We start from the raw sequence: 22,318 nt of genomic DNA on the forward strand, positions 1-22,318 counted from the left end.
GCTCAGTTCCCCAACCAGCTTGCACCGCCCTCACCCCATGAAACTAGTGCAAACCCTCCCCACTTCTCTGCCCATTTTCCTTCCCCCTCACCACGTCCTCCAGCCTTTTCCAGGCAGCAGCTAGTGAACTTCCAGTGTGGGATCATTTTCTAAGGAGAATTAATGAGGGTGATTGACAGCCGAGGGTGGAAGCCAGGCTGGAGGAGGTGCGCCATGCACCACCCCCTCCGTAAACCGCTGAGAGTGGGTCCACGACCCTCCTCTCGGCCAACCACTCCCGCCCCGCCCCCATAGCTGAGCAAGGTGAGGGGGAGGTTTGGGGGAGAGACAGCGGAGGGAGGGTGGGACTGAGTTACCTTTCACCTTTACCTCTGCCTACCCTCCCCCCACACCAGGCCTGGGGACCCAAGAGCCCAACACAGGGGTACACAGGGAAAGCCTGAGTTTGAGATTTTTTGTAGTTGTGATTATTTTTCTCACATTGAAGGGAAGGGGTATGGGTATGTCTGTGCGCCCATGCGGCCACTCCACTCTCCTCCTCAAGGCAATATTTCCCTCGTTCTCCCAAGCCCAAACCAGCAGAGGTAAGGCTGTCTCCTCCCAGGCTGAGCTGCCCTGATCAGGATTCAGAGACCAGACCTTTTGTTATGAAAGAAAAGCAGTCTGGACTTCCAAAGGGTCTGGTTCGGGTGGGGTCACTGGTCAAAAAGTTAAACCAATAACCCCACCCTTGTAGACCCTCCATCAACTCCAGGGGGTCCAGAGGGCAGGTGTGAGTGAGTGTGTGTGTGTGTGTGTGTGTTGTGGGGGGGGTGGTTGTGTGTGTACGTGTGGTGGCCGTGTGCTGTGTTTGTTGTGTATGTGTGATGTGGCTGTGTGGTTGCCTATGGAGTGTATGCTGAGGCTATTGGGTGGCAGAAGTATACGTCTGTGCATCTATGTGTTTGTGGTGTTTTTGGTGTGTGTGTCTGTGTGTGCGCGCGCGCGCTCTGTGTTGTATTGTGTGCGCTAGTGCACGCATTGTCTTCGATGTTGCCGCTAGAGGAACCTTCCAACTCCCACTACTCCCACCTCCGGCTTTCACCCTGCACCCGGCGATGAAGACGTCGGCGAAACGCCTACTTTCCATGCCTAGGTCTGGGAAGGTCTGAAGATCCCGGCGGAGCTGCCTTCGTTCGGGGCCGGGCAAATTCGTTGCAGCCGGGTTGGCCTCAGGGCCTCTCGCCGGCTCGCTATGTTTCCCCGGGGCGCCCTGGCAGGCCAGCCGGCGGTCTGTCAGTCCAGCTCCTGGTGCGGGCGCCTCGTTTTGGTCCACCGGGTCCGGGGCTGGGACACCGAGGGAAAACTTCAGAGCTCCGGGCCACCGAGCCTGGAAGTTACGCGTCCCCCAGCCCACGCGTCCCCAATCCCGGGGTATTTCCTGCTCCCTCATCCAGCGAAGTTCAGCGTCGCGTGTCTCCCCAGCGGCGCAGCCTGCCTCCAAGACACCCTCAAAACCGCCTCATTTTTTGTTAACCGTTTTCTCTCTCTCTCTCTCTCTGTCTCTCTCTCTCTTCCTCCGTCCCCCCACCCCGTGTCCCAAGAATTTTTCCTAGTTTTGTTTTTAACATGTTTAGTGTGTGCATAAAACATCCCAGCTAATCTCAAATAGACTTTTCCTGAGCAGAGGCTGAAATTTGCAAGTAATGCAAAGAAGACTCCGGGAGAGCGTCGCCGATGGTGGAGCGGGAGACGGGCGTGGGGAGCCCCACTGCAGTGCTGGGATCGAAGTGGTGCTGACCCCAAGACCTCTCCCCTCCTCCTCCCCCGGGAGCTTCTCCAGGGTTATTTGGGAAATGAGGGGGAACTCCAATCCCTGAGAAAGCGCTCAGGGGCTTGCTGAGGTGAGCGCAAATGGAAGCACAAGGCCGGGCTGGCCGTGGGCTCAGTAACCAGTCGGCTGCCCGGCTTGCGCCAGCACTAAATGCTCGATCAGAAAGAGAAAAAGAGGCGCAATAATTCCAAATTTCAGGAAAAGTCAAATCGGAGAGGGGGGACGCAGGTCTCTTCAGACTGCCCATTCTCCGGGCCTCGCTGAATGCGGGGGCTCTATCCACAGCGCGCGGGGCCGAGCTCAGGCAGGCTGGGGCGAAGATCTGATTCTTTCCTTCCCGCCGCCAAACCGAATTAATCAGTTTCTTCAACCTGAGTTACTAAGAAAGAAAGGTCCTTCCAAATAAAACTGAAAATCACTGCGAATGACAATACTATACTACAAGTTCGTTTTGGGGCCGGTGGGTGGGATGGAGGAGAAAGGGCACGGATAATCCCGGAGGGCCGCGGAGTGAGGAGGACTATGGTCGCGGTGGAATCTCTGTTCCGCTGGCACATCCGCGCAGGTGCGGCTCTGAGTGCTGGCTCGGGGTTACAGACCTCGGCATCCGGCTGCAGGGGCAGACAGAGACCTCCTCTGCTAGGGCGTGCGGTAGGCATCGTATGGAGCCCAGAGACTGCCGAGAGCACTGCGCACTCACCAAGTGTTAGGGGTGCCCGTGATAGACCGCCAGGGAAGGGGCTGGTTCGGAGGGAATTCCCGCTACCGGGAAGGTCGGAACTCGGGGTGATCAAACAAGGAATGCATCTCACCTCCGTGGGTGCTTGTGCTGCGCAAGGAATTATTACCGGAGCGGTTGCGATGGCCTTTGCCCGGCGACCCAAGAAGAGTAAGCAAACTACCGTCCACCCAGCGGATCAGGTCCAATCCCTGCGCCTCGGCCCAATCCCTAGAGCCCCGCGGCGCCGTATCCCCTCCCCCCCAACTCTGGACCCCGCCGTCTGTCCCCGCGGCATCACCAGGGTGCTGGAGTTTTCCGAGCAGGCCCCTTGCGCTAAGCGAGAGGATCTGTGAGGGAAAGTTGGGAGAGCCACTTCTGGCTTTTGTGAAGATCCCGGGCCTGAGGTATTGGTAGTGACAGGAGAGAGTTCTCTTTTTTTCTTCCTTCTTTCCATCCCTCCTCCTCCCCCCACTTCTTCTTTTTGGTTTTCTCATGGTTTTGGATTTTAGTTTTTGCAATTTGTCATAAAGCAAATGACAAAGGCTTGGAGTTCTTAGTCCAGCTCAGTTCTTTTATCCCTTCTGGGTAAACCAGTCTCAGAGAAGGCAAATGACTGATGCAAAATATCCCAACCAGCAACTTCGTGGCTGAACTGGACCAGAACCCAAGCCTCAAGAGTCTCAAGCCAGCTCTCCCTCTTTAAAAATTTTTTTGTAAAATATGGAATGCTTCATAAATTTGCATGTCATCCTGGTGCAAGGGCCATGCTAATCGTCTCTGTATTGGTTCAACTTTTTTTCCTAAGCAAGCATCCTCTCTCCCCTCTGATCCAATACGAGATTACTGTGCTTCCCAGCCCACATCCTCACCACGTCCACCTTTCCTGAGGTTGGTGAGATGAGACTCCTATTGGAGAGGATCCCTCCCTGGGGAGCCTGCTTCTGAGGAGACCCCAGGTTATCCCAAGCTGGTGCCCCAGCCCCACACCCTCTGGAATATGGGAGAAGGGAGCCTTGAAGAAACAGGTGATGATGGAAGGAGATGTTTCCTCATTTGTAAAATGGGGATAATAGTGCCTGGAGTTTGAGCGTGTGTGTGTGTGTGTGTGTGTGTGTGTGTGTGTGTGTGTATGCACGCACAGGACTTGGATGTTGTGAGTGCTTGATAAATTCCAAAGGGCTGCAGAGTATGTCCTGCTGCTGCATAGGGGTGAAGATCCTCTGAGTCCAGAGAAGCCCTGAGAGCTTAGAACTTAAGACAAGTATGCACTGGGGATCTCTTGGCTTTGGAGGATGCCCAAAGCCAACTGTGGCAGAACCCTGCCAGAAAACCCATGCCTGCCCTTCTTTCCTGGGTCTGACAAGAAAGGATTCTGTGCACATGGTTCTAAGAGGGAATGTCTTTCCACTTATCCTGTCAACTCCAGCTCAAAAGCACTTCCTTTGGGAAACCCTCCCTCACAGCCAACCCCACCCAAAAAACATTCTCTTCCTTTGATGCACAACTTTGATGCCATCCCTGGAAACTCTCCTCAGCACTGCTGTAAGGCTGCCTCCATCCCTGTAGAGGAAAATGGTGATGGTAGAATGAAAGGTTTAGAAGGATATATATCCTCACAGGTTCACAGCTCCAGCTCTAAGGAGATGGTGGCATGGCGAGAATTAAGGAAGAAAGGGAGAAAGGTAGTCCCACATAGAATAAGCATTTCTCTACTGAGCAAACCCTCCACAGCCTGTTGGACGAGAGGGGAGTGGGTTCTCCAGCTGCCCTGCAAAAGCCCCTTCTTCCCGGCTCCAAGGCTTCAAGATGAAGAGCTCCAAGCCAGGTGCTAGAGTCTCTCCTTGGAAAAACTCACCTCTATCTATTCCACTGGGGAGTCTAGTTTGAAATAGACTTGCTCTTCCTCCTTGCAGGACACCTGACTGAACTTCAACCACCCCTGCACACCCATTTGATTGATTTTGTCTAAGGAGGCTTGGGCTCCATTCCCCAGCCAGTGTTTTCTCCTATTCTTCCAGGCTGCTGCCTCCTCCTCCTCCTCCTCCTCATCCTCCTCCTTCTTTTTTCGACATAGAGTCTCACTCGGTCAGTCAGGCTGGAGTGAAGTGGCATGATCTCAACTCACTGCTGCCTTAACATCCAGGGCTCAAGTGATCCTCCTGCCTCAGTCTCCTGAGTAGCTGGGACTACGGGCATACACCACCATGACCAGCTAATTTTTGTACTTTTTGTAGAGATGAGTCTCCCTATGTTGCCCAGGCTGATCTCAAACTCCTGAGCTCAACCGATCTGCCTGCCTGGGCCAAATGCTGGGATTACCGGCCTGAGCCACCTTGCCTGATCTCTCTTTCTTATCACCATCCTCTTCCATCTCCCAGTTCTACGAGGGCTACCTTCACTCTGAACGCTAACAATGAGAGCATGTGTGTGTGTACAAACATGAATATGCCTGCCCAGTTGCATAAAGTGGGAACAGGTGTTTGGGTATGCTGGGGAATTTGTGAAGACTGGCAGTTTAGGGACACATCTAACATAAGGCATCTTAGATGTGTGTGGACAGGTATTTCTCATAGAGCAGGAACACAAGTATACATTTTATATGCTTGGATCTTCTGTATTTTCTAGTAGGTACACCAGTGATTTGACTTGTATACTCATGAATCCATGTAAGAGACAAGTACTAGATAGTGTTTTTATTTAGGGATAGTGCTAATTCATCTTTAGGTATGTAGATGTATACACATCACAGCCTAAAGTGTTTGCAGATTTACAAATGAACCTCTCTTTTTATAGAGGAATGCTAGTGTGAACATCAGTGTAGGTACCTCCATGTTGGTATATGTGAGTATACATGTTGTATTTGAATGGAGTCCCTGTGTAGTTGTGTACACGTGTCAATAAATGCTTGTATACGTGGACACGTGTCCATCGAGGCCATGGATACTAATGTTTAGAAGCAAGTCCTGAACACAGCCTGGAAAATGCGCCAGGGAGACTGGCCTGCAGTATTTCCTGTGCCCGCCCAGGAGCCATCCAACTGGACTCATCTCCCACTCCCAGATTTCGTCCGGGTTCAAGCAACACTTCAGCCCCCTGCGGCGCCAGGTAAGGCGGGGCACCGCACAGGCTAAAGCCCAGAGGGCGGATCCCTTCTTCAGCCTCGGGGGCCTGCAAGGAGCTGCGGTGTCGCAACCAAACCAGGGCCCCTGCCGGAAGCGGAAGCCAGCACGCAGGGCGGTGGGGTGCAGCGGCGGCGGTCTCGGCGTGCCAGGCCCAGGGCGCCCCGCGGGGGCGTGCGCGCCACACGCGTGCGGGGCAGGCTGGGCGCCGGGCGGCACCCTCCCAGCCCCGGCGTCTATTTACCAACAAACTGCCGGCGCTCAGCAGCGGCGCATTCCGACGCGCTGACTAAGCGGTTGGCGCTGGCGGTCTGCACTTGACTCCCCTTCAGGTCCACCGCGGCTGGACCAGAATCGACGTGCAGATCCCCGAAATCGGGAGACTGCAAATGCAGATTCCCTGCGTCTCCGCAGCCCCCGGGCCTCTGCCCACCACCCAGCTCCCTGTCTCTTGGGCATCCAGTCTCGCCACCTCTCTAGCATTTCTGCCATTATAACCGAGGTTCCTGGACTGCACCAATCGCTCTGCAACCCCAGCACCTCTCGGAGGAGACCCCGAGGTAGACCGGCCTGGAGCATGCGCACCGCCCCTCTCCCATTTACCACTTCTCTACAGCGGGCTGTCCCGGGGGGCGGGGCCCGGCTGCAAGTCTCCGTGAGGTCACCGCGGGCGGTAGCCAATCCGGGACGTCTAAGAGGGCGGGGCCCCCGTCGGGTCCCGGGAACCGAACCCGATGGAGAGGAGGGGGCCCCCATGGATTTAGGGGGGGAGGGGAAAGTCATGGGGGGCACCCCCCCGGAACCCCTTTCCCAGGCGCGCGTTCTCCGCTGAAAGAGGCTCAGAGAGACACTTTCTCCGGGATCTTAAGTGTGGGGGCTGCTGGCTGGGGGGCCCGTCCGGCCCAACGCCGGAGGCTTGGAAAAGAGAGTTGGCAGCGGGAGCGGACTACGTGCCGGGCCATGGCCCTTCTGCCCGGGCCCTGGCCACAATGACCTCTTTGCCCTGCCCCCTCCCCGGCCGGGACGCCTCCAAAGCTGTCTTCCCAGACCTCGCCCCTGTCCCGTCGGTAGCGGCTGCCTACCCGCTTGGCTTGTCCCCTACAACCGCAGCCTCCCCCAATTTGTCCTACTCCAGGCCGTATGGCCACCTCCTGTCTTACCCCTACACCGAGCCAGCGAACCCCGGAGACTCCTACCTGTCCTGCCAGCAACCCGCGGCGCTCTCTCAGCCCCTCTGCGGACCTGCAGAGCACCCTCAGGAACTCGAGGCAGGTAAGTTCGGCCGTGGAGGCTCTTCCCACCTCTGGGGTTCGGCTCCTGTGCGCCCCTAAACTTCTCCCTCGCCTGGTTGGACGCAGCTAGCGGGATTCAAACCTTCCTTGGATTCCCTGGGATGTGGGGGTGGGGGGAGGGCGAAGGGATGGGGCGGGAGACACGGGGGGAGGGGCGGGGGAGAGTTGATCTAGGTCTCCTTTCAAAACCGACCTGGTTTCGATTTGCAGTTGTGTAAAGACAGGCGAGAGGGCCCCCCCAACCCCCCACCTGGAGCAGCGGGGCTGTCTGTACCTACTAGTAACGGAAAACTGAAGCAATCCAGATGTGGGGATGGGGGCCTAGCCCCTTTGTCAGAATCCCCCAGCCCCCGTCCTGTACTCCCTTCCTGCCCCATTGTCGCCCCTCTCTGCGTTAGTCTTGTCTCAGAAAGCAGTGATCAAGCCAAACACTGAAAAACAGATCAAGTCCTGGTAGGAGGGCTGTAGACATCGAGGCTTATTCTGGGCTCTGTCCTCTCCCTTCCCTGGCCTTACCCGCTCTCCTCAGACCAGGCCTGACCTTGACTGGAAGCTGGCCTGGCAGAATCTGGGAGTAGGACCCTTCTATCCATTGTTCTGAGAAGGTAGCCAAAGGCTGGTAGGAAAGTCGCTCATCTCTCCCTGACTACCTCAGCCTTCCAGCCAAAGGAGCCGGCCATCGCTGTCATCTCCACTCTTTGGCTTTGGGGTAGGTTAGGCCACAGTTCCCGTTGCCTGGAGCAACTCTGAGCTCCTGAGAAAGTGCTCACTGGAAGGCCTCAATGAAGCGGAGAACCTGGCCCGTCTTTGGGATCCTGGGCCTTGCAGCTGAGCTGACATACAATGTGGGTATGGCATTGCCCACAATCCCATCTGCACTGGCTCCAGCTTAGCCTCCAGGTCTCTGGACTCTCTGCCTCCATCTAATTGCTCACCCCCTCCTCCTGCAATTGTCTTTGGCAGTCTCTTCCAAGGAGGCACACCCATTAGGTGACTTCACTGGAGTCAGCTCAGGACCAAGACATCTTCCTCCCTTCTCCTGTGGCTCTGACATGCTCACAAACCATCAGAGCCAGAAGTGACCCTAGGATTTAGAAGCTCAACTTCTTTGATGTATAGATGGGTAAAGCATGTGGCCAGGAGCATCGATTTTAGGGAGCTTCCTCCAACCCCCCCAAAATTAACTGCCTTCTGTGACAGAACTGTGGCTGTCTCCTGGGCTGCGGAGTGTGGCTGGAGTGGGCGCAGTTGCAGGGAGGAGTAGTTCTAGTTTTTCAAATGAATCCCTTTGACTGTCCTTTAGTGTATGCTAATAGGATATGTTTGTGTGTGTTATGTGTTTGGGGACTGGGGTGGGAATATCATGACCTTGTCCTCAGGGGAATTGCTGGCAGTAGGGTTGGTGTTGTCAGTCTTGTCTGAGATCTAAGGACAACAGAGTGGAGAGTTCATTTTCTTTAAGGACTTTCCCCCATCCAGCGAAAAACCACACACACCCAGATTTCCTTAGAATACATTTCTAGCATTTCTCTGCTGGAACTGGTGGGTTTGGGCGCTCTAGAGTGGAGGGCATGTGATCGAGAGCTTGGGGTCCTCCTTTTACTTCCACTCTATGTCCACTCCTGCCTTGGGAAAAGGTTTGGCTCCAAGTGAGCGGTGCCACCACCCCGTTGAGCCGTAGGGAGCAGCGGGCCTGGAGGGAGGCCTTGGGGCTCCATGATCGCGACCCGGGCAGATCTCGTAACTTGCTGGAACTGGGGTAGGGAAAGGCAGCTGTCCGGGAAGGAACTTGGAGGGGGTCTGCTGGGAGAGTTGGGGCGCGGAGGGCTATGCGAATTCAGCAACCGGGTCGGCCTCAGAGACTCTGCGTCCCCGCTCGAATTGCGCAGTCCACGCAGCCAGAGAGGCGCGGGTGGGCTCTGGGCTGCCAGCCCAGAGCTGCCAGCAGTGGGGTCGAGGCAGGGGAGGCAGGACAGGCGCGGGCGGGAGCGGAAACCCAACGGTTTTTCTGGGAATTGGTTGAGGCAGGGTCGAGGAGGGAGGATCTCAGAAGCCCGCAGCGCCCGAGGCCACGGGTGAGGGATGCGGGGGAGGTGACGGCAGCTGGTGACCGCGGCTGGCCGAGGGCGGGTACACTGACGTGTGGAGGGTGAGCCCGACTAGGGGAAGAAGGTGGGGGGACGCGGGCGGACAGAAGCCGCTCTCTCTCGGCTCAGGTCGGCTGGACAGACCCGCAGGGAATGCGGCGAACGCTGCCCTAAGCGCCCGGGCATTGCGGCTGCTCCATCCGCCCTACTCCTCCCATTGCCTGGGACCTCTGCAGCGTCCCCGTAGAGCCGCGCAGGTTAGGGTGGCTGGCTTGGAAGAACAGAAACCCCTCGGCCCAACCCTCCCCTGTCCCTCAGCATTCTAGGGCTGGGCTGTCCCGCGGCCGAGATTCCTGGAGAGCTAGGCGGGCCAGAGCTGACCAGATCCCCCGCGGCGGCACCGCAGCGCGATCCAGGAGTGGCCCCGCCGGGCTACGCTGCGCGCTCTTGGAACCCGGGTCACCTTCCCTGCCGCCGGAACCGCTCTGTGCGCGCTGCCCAACGAAGGAAGGGGCTGCCCCACGCAGACCCGGCTTCTGGGGGTCCCTGGAAACCCAGGCGGCCACGGTGTGGCGGGGGAGACATGGTCACTTTTCCTGCAGGGTGCGCCTGAGCAGAGGGGCAGCCCGTTACAGTAGGCGAGGCCAGGGCAAACCCGGGGTCACTATCAGCGCTGCGAGACTGGTATTCAAGGTCCTCTCAGCCGGGCCTCTCACCCACCCCGCTGGCCGCAGCCGGAGGCTGCCACGCGGACACCGTCTCAAGCCTCTGAGCATTGCTCTGAGCCTCTGCCTGCAATGTCCTTCCTCTGTCATCTCTAGGCCTCGGCTCAGCCCTGGACCTAGCCTTTCTGCCCCGCCCTACCCCAAGCTGGCGCCACCGCCCGTGGCTGAACTCCGACCTCCCACCGCAGGCGCCGCGGTACCCTGGCTGTGGCCCTCGGCGCTTTCTTCCTAGGGTCACAGGACCCATACGAGTGGGAGCTCCCTGGGAGCAGAACTGCGTCTTGTATCACCTGGCGCGGTGAACGTGGGGGTTGAAACGCTCCACGCGGAAGGTAGAGGGCAGGGGCCAAGGGGGCGATCCTGGTGGCTGCGCTTTTTGCTATTTGCTGCCGACGGCATGCAGACGAGATGCAAATAAGCTTATGAAACTGTCCGTCCTACCCCCTCGCTCCCTCCTCGCCCCCTACACCGTGTTGTGCTGCCCACCAGACTCGGAGAAGCCGCGGCTGTCCCCGGAACCCTCCGAGCGGCGCCCTCAGGCCCCCGCCAAAAAGCTCCGCAAGCCGAGGACCATCTACTCCAGCCTGCAGCTGCAGCACCTAAACCAGCGTTTCCAGCACACGCAGTACCTGGCGCTGCCCGAGAGGGCCCAGCTGGCAGCGCAGCTCGGCCTCACCCAGACCCAGGTGGGGCCAGTGTCGTCCTTCCCCATCTCTCACCTTCCCTGGTTCTCTGGGAACTCATCCCCCAGCCCCAGCTGTGAATGACTGATGGATTGGTGCTGTGGCCCTGTTGTCACAGTTCTCCAGGGAATGTTCATAGCTGGCTCTTAGTAAGCCTTGGGGGGAATGTGTTGAAAGGTGTGCATGTATGTGCGGGTGGGGTGGAGTGGGTCAGGAAGAGGAGGGTAGGTCAGACAGGGAGACATGGATACTAGCTCAGAGGCAGGAACTCAGAAGGCTCCTGGGGCTGTGGGGGACTGAAGCAAATGTTCCCAGCCTAGGGAACTGCTGGTCTCCCAGGACTGTGCCTGCACCTGGATCCCTTTCCCTTCCTCGAAACTTTTCACACATATCTTCCTCCTGATCTTTCATTCTTTCCCCTTTTCTTCCCGAAGGTAAAGATCTGGTTTCAGAACAAACGCTCCAAGTATAAGAAGCTCCTGAAGCAGAATTCTGGGGGGCAGGAAGGGGACTTCCCTGGGAGGACCTTCTCTGTGTCTCCCTGCTCCCCACCCCTCCCCTCCCTCTGGGATCTACCCAAGGCAGGGACCCTGCCCACCAGTGGCTATGGCAACAGCTTTGGAGCCTGGTATCAGCATCACTCCTCAGATGTCCTGGCTTCGCCTCAGATGATGTGAATCTGGGGAAGGGCGGGTCAGGCCCACAGCCTTCCTGCAAAGCCCAGGACCCAGGCAGTCCACCTGCACCCCTTCTGGGCTGGGAGGAAACCAGCTCCAGATGGGTTTTCTCTGGAGGACAAGCAGTTAGAGGAGAAAAAGGAATGGAGCAGAGCCTGTACCCCTAACCCTAACAGCTAAATCAAGGACCTCAGCCTTATATAATCATTGTCCCCACCACTACCATGGACTGGACACCTTCACTCCAGCTGGACAAAGACTCTGGAGAGAGAGCCATTGGCTGGAGTTGAGACTGTCCCCAGAACCCTTGGTCTTGCCACTCCCCCACTCCTTCTTCCCTCTCTCCCTTTCTCCTCTCCCTGCTTTCTTGAAAAGGACTGAATCGCCACTACAGCCTGGGTGCAAAATCAGCAAGAAACATTGAGTATTTTTTTTTCTTTGTATGCCTTTGGCCTTGCACAACCCATTTGTGAGCAAAAGCAGAAGTGGACCACCATCAGCTCCCACCCACCCAGCGATTTTTCCTTGGAGGTCAGCCCGTTACCCCCATAACTGATTTACCTACTTACCATACTGGGAGGTAGAAGAGATGCAGAGAAATGTGGAATTTGTGGACCTATGGGTAATTTATGCTTTCCTCCTAAAAAAAAAAAAAAAGCCCTCTTTCCCACCCCCTCCCCATCTCCCCTTTTTGAATAGATAATGGATCCAATTATCCATATAATTCAATAGGTATTTATTGAGAGGCTCCCTTCTATTCCCCATCCCTAATCCCTAACGAACCCACGGGCACACACTTTTGGAAACCTGGTAAAGTAACACTTAGGGGGAAATGGGGACAAACTGGCTCTCTGGATTAGTGCGGGTATAGACACCCCCAAATAGGTGGGTAGGCCCATTGATTCAGCTCCTTGCAGCTGTCTCTGTTCAAAGGAACTGTGCAGATTTAGAACGAATTGGAGCTTGAGCTTCACACCACCAGCTTCCAGAGATTAAAGTTTGTACAAAACATTGCATTCTGGCTGTGAGATGTGTTTGTTTCCTGACTTCTTATGGGTAGCGGCTGGTCATGCATCTCTTCTGGCCCATCTGACTTTTCTACCATGGAATTACAGGTATCAGAGGCACTGGATTCTAGATTTGTCTTGGCCACTAACTAGCTCTGTGATTCTGGCTCTGGAATGTTCTAACAACGTCCACAGTTTCATATGCTCCCATGTGAACCCAGGAGATGCTCATGCAGGGTCTGAGTGCTCCTTCCCAGGAGATGCTCTCCTGGCCCAGTTCAGGAGGGAGCCAGGCACCTTACCAGCCCCCAGGCCCCACCTTTAGCCCAGGGAGAGGCCCTGTTCACCTTGAGAGAGGGCACACCCACGGATCCGGTCCAGTCCTACCTGGAGAAGTGTGCTGCTTGGGGGCAGGATGGCCTCAGCTCACCTTGGGGAAGGAGGAGGGGCAGGTCTGAGAAGGAAAACACCAAAAAGAACTGGAATTCTCTTCCATCCAACAAACATTTGGAGACCCTGTGCTCTGCTAGATCCTAGGGATACCATGGTGACTGAAGCAAACAAATGACCAGACGCTGGTGTGGTGAGTTCCAGGCAAAGGAAAACACAGATGGTGGCGTGGGTATTGTCAAGGGCCTCCAATCCAGCCTGGGCCAGAGGGGTCAGTGCTGGGCGAGAAGGGCGGGCGGCCTGGGGAGCAGCAGGACCTGACAGACTCCTGGCCACCACACCTCACTGGACTACATAGCACCACCCCTGCTCCCACCAGGATCAGCAGGATAAGGAACGCCTTGGGAGAGGAGCTGAGGACAAGGGTGGCAGAATAATTCAGCGAATCCAGCCCAGCATGGCCTGAGGGGCTGGGGGAGGGGCCTCCAAATCCAGGCAAAAAGCTTCCAAGTTGAGCTTCCCTCTGACTGCCTAGACCTGTTCCCAGACACTGCAAACTCGGTGCCTGTCCCAGTCTGAAAAGCCCACTCAGACACTTCCAGCCAACCGCTGCAGGCCAGAGAGAAGCCCAAATTGGAGTCATGTGTAGGGCAGAGGGGTATGAAATCCCCCAGCTCCTGACGCCTACAGTCAGTTCCTCCTCAGCCCCTGTTCCTCACCCTGTGTTGGGTCAGTGACCACCCCTATTCCACAAAACACTCCCAGAGAATTCTCTTGGGGATGGCACATGGCATGGGTAGACCAAAGCCAAGATCCAGGAGTGGTGAGGAATGGGAGTGCCAGGAGGATAAATATCTTCCTCTTCCTACAATGCCTTCCCCTGCTCCAAGCCCCAGGCTCCACTGGCTCTCTGTCACCCCAGGCCCAGTTCTCTCCTCTTGGTCTCCTCTGAGGCCACAGGCCCTCCAGGCAGCTGTTCCCGCCCACTGCAGGTTGCACACTCCTCTTTCTACAGACCCAAGATAAGATCTACCGCCCCATCTAGGAAAGCCTCCAAAGGCGAGATTAATTGGACAGCCCAACACAAGTCACATTGTTAAAACAACAGCCCAGGTTGTAAAGTTAAGTAGCACAAGGAGTGTAATTACTCTCTCAGCTAGAGGCCCTGAGCTGACAGCATCCACCCCCCTCTGGCCCCCTCTCCTTCTATCCATCCTTTTCAGGGGAAATGGGAACCTCTTTTCCATTTGGGAGCTGGCCCAGTTTCCCTGAGCTCCTGGGCAGTGATGGGCCTGGAGCTCCCGGGCAGTGATGGGCCTGGAGCTCCCAGTGGAGGAGGTGCCCGGTTCCCTTCCCTCAGGCCATCAGGGCTGTAGAAGGAGAACCCCATGGTTCCTTTCCCTGAGGAAGCCCCACTGGGAAAATTGGGTCAGTAAGGGAGGGGGACCAAGACTGGGTGGTGAAGAACAGGGGCTTTAAGCTATAAAGAGTCCCGGCTCTGTCATCTTCTAGCAGTGTGACTTTTGGTGAGTTACTTAACCTCTCTCTGAGCCTTGCTTTTTCCCATCCCCCACCCCCACCCAAGATGAGAATACTAATAGGACTTGCTTTGCAGAGTGATTGTGATGACAAAATGAGATAGTGCTTGTAACACGCTTGACATGGTGCCTGGAACATAGTAAGCACTTAATAAATGGCATTTACGACTGCTGTTATTATCAGGGGAAGAAGAGGAGGGGTTACAGTGAGGGGGAATTCTTACTGCCATCCATTCACCTTCTGCCCCTGGGAGAACTGCCTCCTAAGGAGGCAGACGAGGAATGAGGCTGGAGAACTCAAAACATCCCTGGTCACCACCATCCGAGAGCTGGATACAGGCAAGGTCCCAAATGCAGAAGACGCAGCACAGTGCATCTGAAGTCAGCTGAAACTGGAAGACGGGAAAGTGTGTTCAGAGAACGTCCAGGGCACTACAAGGGTCTCAGCTACAGGGAAGCTGACTTGGGCTTCCCCACCTTTCTGGGTCACTCAACCTTCCCTCTCCCCGTATACTATTTTAGGTCATGCCTCCATGTTTTCCCCCAACAAAATGAGATTTAATTAATTCAATTAAAGCAATTTTGGGAGCAGCTCCTGAAGGCTTTCAATGTGAGATAATTACAAGTAATTTGCTGCCGTGAAGAGGAAAAGGGCACATGGGGTCTGAGGGGAAGGGAGGTAGCCCCCTCCTCACCAAATACACACAGATCTTGAGGGATTCCACACTGCAATCTTAACTGCCCTCCCACTGGCCAAATTACTTGCAGGTGGGAAGAGGGAGAATGTGGTGGTGATGGTTGAGGGGGAAGACACCCAGTGACAGGCTGCCCCTCCTCCACCCCCAAATCTGAGGTGGGGGTGGGGAGCTGGTTGTTCCCCGACAAAATGTCTGCAATGCCATAGCAGCTGATTACTCAGCTCCAAACCTCATTTGAGTTTGGATGCCTGGACTTGCCTCTGGGATTGTATCCAGAGAGTCAATGGAATGTTATCCCAGTAGCTGAGGCCTGTGTAGACGGGGGCTTTGGAGATCAAGGACCTCCCCAGAATTTATAAGGGATATGGGTAGAGAAAGGAAAAGTCTTTAGAAGGTGGACAGTGATTTCCTGCTTCCACCAAGGAGCTGACGGGACACTCATTTCTCTCCTCCCTGCTCGAAGTCTGTCTAGTTTCTGCCTGGTGTCTAATCTCAATTCCTCCCATTATAGTGATGGCAAAGCTCCTCTCAGTTGAATGCACAGAGGCTTCTTCCTTCCAAAAGGCATCCTACAGGTGTTTCCCCTCCCCTCTGCCCCTGGGATAACCCTTTCCTTCCCAGGCCTCATTTGGCCAGGAGGAGGCAGGAGGGGGACATGATGGAGCTGAGAGGTAGATGCTGGGAGGCAGGGGTTTAAAACAAGGTGTGGGGATGGACTTCAGGGCTCTGCAAAGACCCTCTCAAGCCCGCCCATGAAGGAGCTGGCTTTCAAGAGCCTAGGGTTCCCCTTGACCTGGGAGCCCCGTTCCAGGAGGTGAGTAATGTTTTAACAATGATGGTTGAAAAGAAAAAGTCACCGACCCCATAGTGTTTCTCTTTCATATCTCCCCCTCTCATTTCAAGGTGGGGTAAAGAGGAAGAGTTCCGTCAGCTCTTGTTTCTCCTCACCTCACCCCACCCCACCTCGTGCCCCTGCCCCTACTCTGAGCAGCATGGCTGTTGGACCTGGGGAGCCAGGAGAAATTCTATCAGTGAGTCCTTGGGTGACTGCTCTCTCTCCTTCCAAGATGAAAACACTTCGAGAGAGACAAGCGGCCTCCTCACCACGCCTCCACTTCCCCATTTCCTGGCCTGTGCAGATTGCTTAAAAAGGGGGAATAGGGCTGGGCGCGGTGGCTCATGCCTGTAATCCCAGCGCTCTGGGAGGCCGAGGTGGGCGGATCATGAGGTCAAGAGCTGGAGACCGTCCTGGCCAACATGGTGAAACCCTGTCTCTGCAAAAATACAAAAATTAGCCAGGCATGGTCGCGGGCACCTGTAGTCCCAGCTACTAGGGAGACTAAGGCAGGAGAATCACTTGAACCCAGGAGGCAGAGGTTACAGTGAGCCGAGATTGCGCCACTGCACTCCAGCCTGGTGACAGAGCCAGACTCCGTCTCAAAAAAAAAAAAAAAAAATTGGTGGTGGGGGTGGAAATAAAAGGCCCTTCTACTCCTAACCTCACAATACAAAGGCCCCAAAGAAATGCTTGGAGACAAGCAGGCCCAGGGAGCTAGGCACACAGACACCGCATGTGCACACATGAACCCACAGAAGACACGCACACAGGCAGGCGGACACACACAATGGGGTGCAGGGAGTGGGCAGAGCCACATGTAGACACATGTGTACATGAAGCATTCCCATGGTTGTACATGGACATAACACAGAGAGATGCCCTCGCAGCTTATATACTCACAGAGAGAAGCACAACACAGCGAAGCACCAAAAGGGAGATGCCCGGCGACTTGACCGTAGGCAGAAACAGACATGCATGTCCAGAAATATACAGACTAGCTTCCTTGTGTGCAAGCAGCACATGTGTGTAGGCGGGGGGGGGCAGTCTCTTTTTCTCTACCTCTTTCTTCTCCTGCCACCTTCCCTTTCTCTCTCCCTTTCCCAGCTCTCCATCTATTTTCTGGGAACATTTCTCTGGTGAGTGGTTGAGGAGAGAGGCTGAACAGCCACAGAAACTCGATAATTTTATTCTGACTTGATTGTTTGTGTTCCCTGAAGCTTTGCCTACTTCTTTTCCTAAGCTCTAGCAAGAAAAGCTTCTGTCCCCAGCCCTTCCTGGTACAACTCATGGCTCCCAGACATGTCCTTGGAGTCCAGCTCTGCCACGGGAACCCAGAGGCTATTTAAGGGGGCTTAAGTGGCCTTTCCTTCAGAAGTCTCCACTGATCCCTCTTCCCCACTTCCCGACATTGACTCCAATCCAGGGAAGCAGGAGGGGGCTTGGGATCACAAAGTGGTGAGGAAGGCACAGCTCTGCGAACCAAAGATCTGTATCTGATACTACTTGCTGTGTGACCTTGGGCAAGTTACATACCCTCTCTGAAACTCAGATAATTTCTCTTGCTAAGTTCTGGGTGCAGGGACCAGAGTGGGCTAATGTGTGTCTACCACCACTCTCCACTCTAGTCTGGGGCTTTGTAAAGGCAGACCCTGCCTCTACCATCAGACTGAGCTCCCCTGTGCCTCAGATGGGATGCATCCTACAGCTGGCTCTTCCCAGCCCCCCAGTTTGATGATGCTGAGGTACTCAGCCCCACTGGCACCCTAGGGGGCATGTCTGGCCAGCTCAGGAAGGGGAAAGGAGTCGGCCCCAAGCTTCCTCCAAACATCAAGCTTTCTGATTCAGTGTCTCACAGTGCCAGGCCTTCAGCCTCTCTGACCCAAAACTGGAGAGATGACTTCATTTCCAGGGGAGGGTGCCACTCTCTGTGGAGGGCATGTGGAAGAGATTCCTCTCAGCTCTGTATGAACCATTCCTTTCAGAGTTTAGTTGCTTGGGGTTAAGCCTGAAGAAGATCATTTTGCCGCTGCATGAGACTTCACTCAGGTCTGTGGCCCCCATTCTCTCACCCTCCCCATCTCCAGCTGATGTAACGTAGAGCCCACATCATGAGGTTGGAGCACCCACCTGGATCATCCCACTTTGATCACGAGGTTCCCTGGGCATCTCCTCCACCTACAAGCCCACCCCATGATTATCTTCTCTGTCCTGGTTTGCACCTTAACCTGATCCATTAAGACTTGCACTCTTTCTTCAGACTGGGGGTTGCCAGAGAGCGCTTCATGGGCCTCCCCTCTTGGACTGGGGACTCCTGGGCACCCTGGCTTCTTCCTCTGCCTGCTCACCCCTCCCTCAACCCTGATGCTCCCACTCTCTTTGGGGTGGAGAGGCTCAGCACATGGGGTTGGGTAGAGGCCTAAGAGGGGATGGGGCCACGTGGTACTTGCCAGGCCACGCCCTTTCCACTGCCTGCCTTGCCTGCCAGAGAGCCACAAGACCACTCCTCTCGGGCTGGACCCAGGAGCTGCTTTCTCTGTCTCTGCAAGCTCGGGCCTGCTGCAAACTCCTCCTCCCAGCCCTGGAGCCGCCGGGAATTCTTTGCTCCAACAGATCCTGGGGGAAGCCAGACTGCAGGAGGCTCCTGACATGCCTCTACCCAGCTCCTGTCACATTCCCCAAGCCCAGGGGGATCAGCTGGATCCACCAATGCAGGCTTCTTCCACCCCTTGTGACCCAGGTCTTTGCCTTACCGCCTCAAATCCTCCTACCCACCTTTCTAAACCGTGAATTCTGTCTTGGGACTCACCTCTGACTTTGGATCCCTCCCACTCCCAGCCCCTTGGCAGCCCTACCCGAGCAATAATTGTTATCCCCCCAGCTCCCTTGGAATAACATTTACCTCCTTCTCCATACAGCCTTTATAAAGTCTTCATGGATTTGCACTCTGAGATGCAGGCACTCAGTCGAGAGGCCTTGGGCAAGTCACTTCACATCTCTGGGTCTTTATTTCTTCACCTATGCAGTAGGGCCAATGATCAAATGATGCCTCCAAAGGTCATGGAGACAAGGAGAGTGCACCCCTAGTAAGTTGTGAAAAATACCAGGTATGCTAGGAGATATGGTGGCTTATTCCTTCACCCTGGCTAGACCAACTTGGTGCTGGAAGTGTCTCTCTTTCCATCCCCTAACTTCTTCTCTGACCCACCAGTTCACCATATAATGGAGAATAGTATAGTTCTACCCCCAGGAACACAAAATAACAAAGAGCCAGATTCCTGATTCAAGTCCAACTCGATGACCTTGGGCAAGTTTCTTAACCTCTGTGTACCGCACCTTTCTTACCTGGAAAATGAAGATGAGAGCATGTGCTTCACAGAGTTTTTTGTGGGAACTATATGAGTTGAAACCCAAAAGTCAGCCAGGCGCGGTGGCTCACGTCTGTAATCCCAGCACTTTGGGAGGCCGAGGCAGGCAGATCACTTGAGGTCAGGAATTCAAGACCAGCCTGGCCAACATGGTGAAACCCCATCTCTACTAAAAATACAAAAAAAATTAGCCGGGTGTGGTGGTGCATGCCTGTAATCCCAGCTACTCGGGTTGCTCAGGCAGGAGAATCGCTTGAACCCAGGAGGCAGAGGTTGCAGTGAGCCGAGATCACGCCACTGCACTCCAGCCTGGGTGACAGAGCAAGACTACATCTCAAAAAAAAAAAAAAAAGAAAAAGTCACAATAATACAGTAAGCATTCAGCAAGGATTCATAATTATTAGTATCTCTGACTGACAAGCAAGGAAAACACTCTCTGTCCACGAGGAATCTTGCCCAAGTACCAGTTCCTCTATTGCTCTTCTCTGCTTGGAAGTCTCTATTCCCAGGTGTCAGGATGGCCAAGTGGTCTAAGGAAGTCTCTATTCCCACCAAGCATCTTTTTGGGTTGGAGCCACCTGTCAGTAAAGCCCTGGTGTGGGCTATCTTCTTCAGCCACCCTGTAGTGTGGGTAATGGGCTGGACAGAAGCTGCTTTGTGACTAGTGGAGGAGGTTGTGCAGGAGACTGGCTAAAGTGTGAGGATGTCTGACTGCGCTCCCTGGGCAGCCCTCTGAACACCTCAGGTGGGAAGACAACTGAAGAGGGAAGGCCATACAGTGCCTGCCTCAGTCAGAGCTAATGCAGAGGCAGACAATGCCCCTGACTTCTTCATTCGTGAAAGATTGCCCCCTCCTGTAACCCCAGATTCCCTCCAACTACGCAAAAAAGCAGAGATAAAACTGTCTCCGGCTGGGCACGGTGGCTCACGCCTGTAATCCCAGCACTTTGGGAGGCCAAGGCGGGTGGGTCACTTGAGGTCAGGAGTTCAAGACCAGCCTGGCCAACATGGTGAAACCCCATCTCTACTAAAAATACAAAAATTAGCCGGGTGTGGTGGCAGGTGCCTGTAATCCCAGCTACTTGGGAGGCTGAGGCAGGAGAATCGCTTGAACCTGGGAGGCAGAGGTTGTGGTGAGCCGAGATTGCGCCACTGCACTCCAGCCTGGGCGACAGAATGAGACTCCGTCTCAAAAAAAGAAAAAACAACAATAACAACAAAAATATCTCTTTTTACTGATATTTGATTGCATGCTTAGAAAACTCAAGAAACTCCAGAGGAAAAAATCTTCCAGAATTAAGAGAATTTTGGCATGGTGGCTAGATATGAGATAAATATAAGACATCAGTAACTGTTCTTTAGTATAGCAATAAATAAGGAAAAATATTCCTTTTAAAATGGAAATGCAAAACAAAATCTGTAAGCATATAGACGTGGAGACCAGATATTTAGCTGATCAGTAACTGAGATATATAAACCCCTGTCATCATCCCTTCTGCTGGTTCTAGGCACATGATGGTTTCCTGGGTGATCATCCTTCTATTATCTGAGTCATGAGATCAAGAAAGCACTTTTCCAGTAGAGGGAGGAATTTTGTAGGTGATCTCCCCTGACAGAGAAGAAAGGGTCAACTTTGGACTCATGGAGGGTACATAGAACTCCCTGGGCCAACTGAGGAGGACGCTGAGGAGTGTCCTACCTGCCTATGGCTGATTTAATCTAAAACGGACAGTACAGGCCGGCGCGGTGGCTCACACCTGTAATCCCAGCACTTTGGGAGGCTGAGGTGGGCAGATCACATGAGGTCAGGAGTTCAAGACCAGTCTAGCCAACATGGTGAAACCCCACCTCTACTAAAAATACAAAAATTAGCCAGGCATGGTGGTGGGTGCCTGTAATCCCAGCTACTCGGGAAGCTGAGGCATGAGAATCCCTTGAACCCCGGAGGCGGAGGTTGCAGTGAACCAAGATTGCACGACTGCACTCTAGCCCAGGTGACAAGAGTGAAACTCCATCTCCAAAAAACAAAACAAAACAAACAGAAACCTGACAGTACAGTTTGTTGAGCTCCCATCATTGTGTTAAGCCCTTTATATGTGTTATCTCATTTAATTTCCTCAGCTGCCCTGCAAAAGAGATTTGGTTAGCTCCATTATATTGATGAGGGAAAGTCCGGCTCAGAGACCACAAGCGACTGACCTGAGGTTACACAGTCTCATTGATCTCACCAACAAAATGGGATAATAATGACACTGATCTTGGCAGGTAGCTGTGAGGATGAAATGAGACAGTGCCTGTGGAAGCTCCTGGCATAGGGCTTAGCACACAGTAGGTCTTCCGTTAGCACCATCCCTGCCCAGATCTTGGGAGGAACTCTCTGCTCTTCTGCTTGCCTTCCTTTCCAGCCCCAATTCTGCTCCCTCTGGCCTTCTGACTTCTTTAGTTGCCCACCCTCCCCTGGCTGAAGGCACATCATCCTCCCCCACTCACCATCAGTGGTTCCTGAGCTCAGGGCAGGCCTAACTGACCTAGGGAGTGGGTGTGGGACAGTGCCACACACATTGCATGACGTGGCCAGGCACCCTCAGTGTGCAGGGAAGCACACGCTGCTGCCAGGTGCGAGGTGAACTGCCTGGGGTGGGGGATACCCCTCCCCTGCTCCAGCTAATCCTCCAGGGTGTGGAGTCTCTGTTCCCTGCTGACTCAGCAGACACTTCCAATCCTGCTCTGATTTGCCCCAGGAGACAACCCAGGAATTTGGGCCTTGAGGCCCCACCCACTGTTCCCATCCCCAGGTTTGTCTCCTTCCAAGGTGCCTATCCTGGCTGCCTGACCCCTAAGCCCCTCCTCTGACTCCTCATCTTGGGCAGAGGCAGCCAGGAGACTCCTGGCCCTTCCTCAATGCTTCCTGGGCCTCTGAGCTTCCCAGGACGCTCCTGGAGCTTAACAGGCCTGGTCCATACTCTCTCCCACCCCCAAAAAGTCTGCTAGATTCCCCAACAAAACAGGCCAATTGAAGAAAAGCATTCAGGGGTGTCAGATCACTGGGACCACCTGCTTGTGATCCAGAGGCCTCTCTTGGTTCTGCAAGGGTTTGAGAGCCCACTCAGCAGTGCCTGTCCAGGTGTAGCCTCGTGTAGGGAGAGGAGCCCCAGCACTAAGAACAATCACCTGCTGTGTGACCTTGGGCAAGTCACACAACCTCTCTGGGCCTGCTTCCTGATGATTAGATTAGAATGCCTAGAGAGAGTGCGATCACTGTCAACTCCTGCAGTTGCTCAGGAGAAGCAATTGGATGCTGGGCTTTCCTGTTGTCATCTCATTTAACCCCCATCAGCCTGGGGAGGGACAGTTATCATGTCCCC

At 54.6% G+C, this 22,318-nt stretch overlaps 1 protein-coding gene and 1 pseudogene across 3 annotated transcripts, besides 11 other annotated features; one reads left to right on the top strand and one right to left on the bottom strand.

Annotated features, from left to right (window-relative positions):
- Window positions 3,249-3,350, bottom strand: RNU6-1313P (RNA, U6 small nuclear 1313, pseudogene; annotated as a pseudogene).
- Window positions 5,575-5,634: an enhancer, noted in NCBI's record as "active region_12374". NCBI's record gives its function as "activates an Ori minimal core promoter by ATAC-STARR-seq in GM12878 lymphoblastoid cells {active_cell/tissue: GM12878}" and the evidence as "EXISTENCE:reporter gene assay evidence [ECO:0000049][PMID:35858748]".
- On the top strand, window positions 5,746-12,133 carry DLX4 (distal-less homeobox 4). 3 transcript variants are annotated; one of them, XM_047435517.1, is made up of 3 exons: window positions 5,746-6,213; window positions 6,789-10,443; window positions 10,875-12,133. In XM_047435517.1, exons 2-3 carry the CDS (start codon window positions 10,180-10,182, stop codon window positions 11,115-11,117), a joined length of 507 nt encoding a protein of 168 aa, XP_047291473.1. In that variant the 5' UTR covers window positions 5,746-6,213; window positions 6,789-10,179; the 3' UTR covers window positions 11,118-12,133. The 3 variants fall into 3 exon arrangements, with proteins under 3 accessions (XP_047291473.1, NP_612138.1, NP_001925.2); NM_138281.3 differs by lacking the exon at window positions 5,746-6,213 and having other exon boundaries at window positions 6,364-6,925; window positions 10,247-10,443; NM_001934.4 differs by lacking the exon at window positions 5,746-6,213 and having other exon boundaries at window positions 9,940-10,443.
- Window positions 5,815-5,904: a silencer, noted in NCBI's record as "silent region_8676". NCBI's record gives its function as "represses an Ori minimal core promoter by ATAC-STARR-seq in GM12878 lymphoblastoid cells {active_cell/tissue: GM12878}" and the evidence as "EXISTENCE:reporter gene assay evidence [ECO:0000049][PMID:35858748]".
- Window positions 6,095-6,144: an enhancer, noted in NCBI's record as "active region_12375". NCBI's record gives its function as "activates an Ori minimal core promoter by ATAC-STARR-seq in GM12878 lymphoblastoid cells {active_cell/tissue: GM12878}" and the evidence as "EXISTENCE:reporter gene assay evidence [ECO:0000049][PMID:35858748]".
- Window positions 8,286-8,908: an enhancer, noted in NCBI's record as "H3K27ac-H3K4me1 hESC enhancer chr17:48048476-48049098 (GRCh37/hg19 assembly coordinates)". NCBI's record gives its function as "activates a minimal SCP1, AML or CMV promoter by ChIP-STARR-seq in naive H9 embryonic stem cells {active_cell/tissue: H9 hESC(naive)}" and the evidence as "EXISTENCE:reporter gene assay evidence [ECO:0000049][PMID:30033119]".
- Window positions 8,909-9,531: an enhancer, noted in NCBI's record as "H3K27ac-H3K4me1 hESC enhancer chr17:48049099-48049721 (GRCh37/hg19 assembly coordinates)". NCBI's record gives its function as "activates a minimal SCP1, AML or CMV promoter by ChIP-STARR-seq in naive H9 embryonic stem cells {active_cell/tissue: H9 hESC(naive)}" and the evidence as "EXISTENCE:reporter gene assay evidence [ECO:0000049][PMID:30033119]".
- Window positions 13,207-13,770: an enhancer, noted in NCBI's record as "H3K4me1 hESC enhancer chr17:48053397-48053960 (GRCh37/hg19 assembly coordinates)". NCBI's record gives its function as "activates a minimal SCP1, AML or CMV promoter by ChIP-STARR-seq in primed H9 embryonic stem cells {active_cell/tissue: H9 hESC(primed)}" and the evidence as "EXISTENCE:reporter gene assay evidence [ECO:0000049][PMID:30033119]".
- Window positions 13,771-14,334: an enhancer, noted in NCBI's record as "H3K4me1 hESC enhancer chr17:48053961-48054524 (GRCh37/hg19 assembly coordinates)". NCBI's record gives its function as "activates a minimal SCP1, AML or CMV promoter by ChIP-STARR-seq in primed H9 embryonic stem cells {active_cell/tissue: H9 hESC(primed)}" and the evidence as "EXISTENCE:reporter gene assay evidence [ECO:0000049][PMID:30033119]".
- Window positions 21,133-21,634: an enhancer, noted in NCBI's record as "H3K4me1 hESC enhancer chr17:48061323-48061824 (GRCh37/hg19 assembly coordinates)". NCBI's record gives its function as "activates a minimal SCP1, AML or CMV promoter by ChIP-STARR-seq in naive H9 embryonic stem cells {active_cell/tissue: H9 hESC(naive)}" and the evidence as "EXISTENCE:reporter gene assay evidence [ECO:0000049][PMID:30033119]".
- Window positions 21,133-22,134: a biological region, named in NCBI's record as "H3K4me1 hESC enhancers GRCh37_chr17:48061323-48061824 and GRCh37_chr17:48061825-48062324".
- Window positions 21,519-21,813: a silencer, noted in NCBI's record as "tiled region #8931; K562 Repressive non-DNase unmatched - State 22:ReprW". NCBI's record gives its function as "represses a minimal TATA promoter and a strong SV40 promoter by Sharpr-MPRA in K562 cells {active_cell/tissue: K562}" and the evidence as "EXISTENCE:reporter gene assay evidence [ECO:0000049][PMID:27701403]".
- Window positions 21,635-22,134: an enhancer, noted in NCBI's record as "H3K4me1 hESC enhancer chr17:48061825-48062324 (GRCh37/hg19 assembly coordinates)". NCBI's record gives its function as "activates a minimal SCP1, AML or CMV promoter by ChIP-STARR-seq in naive H9 embryonic stem cells {active_cell/tissue: H9 hESC(naive)}" and the evidence as "EXISTENCE:reporter gene assay evidence [ECO:0000049][PMID:30033119]".

Source organism: Homo sapiens, chromosome 17 (assembly GCF_000001405.40).
Source record: "Homo sapiens chromosome 17, GRCh38.p14 Primary Assembly".
Classification (NCBI taxonomy): domain Eukaryota; kingdom Metazoa; phylum Chordata; class Mammalia; order Primates; family Hominidae; genus Homo; species Homo sapiens.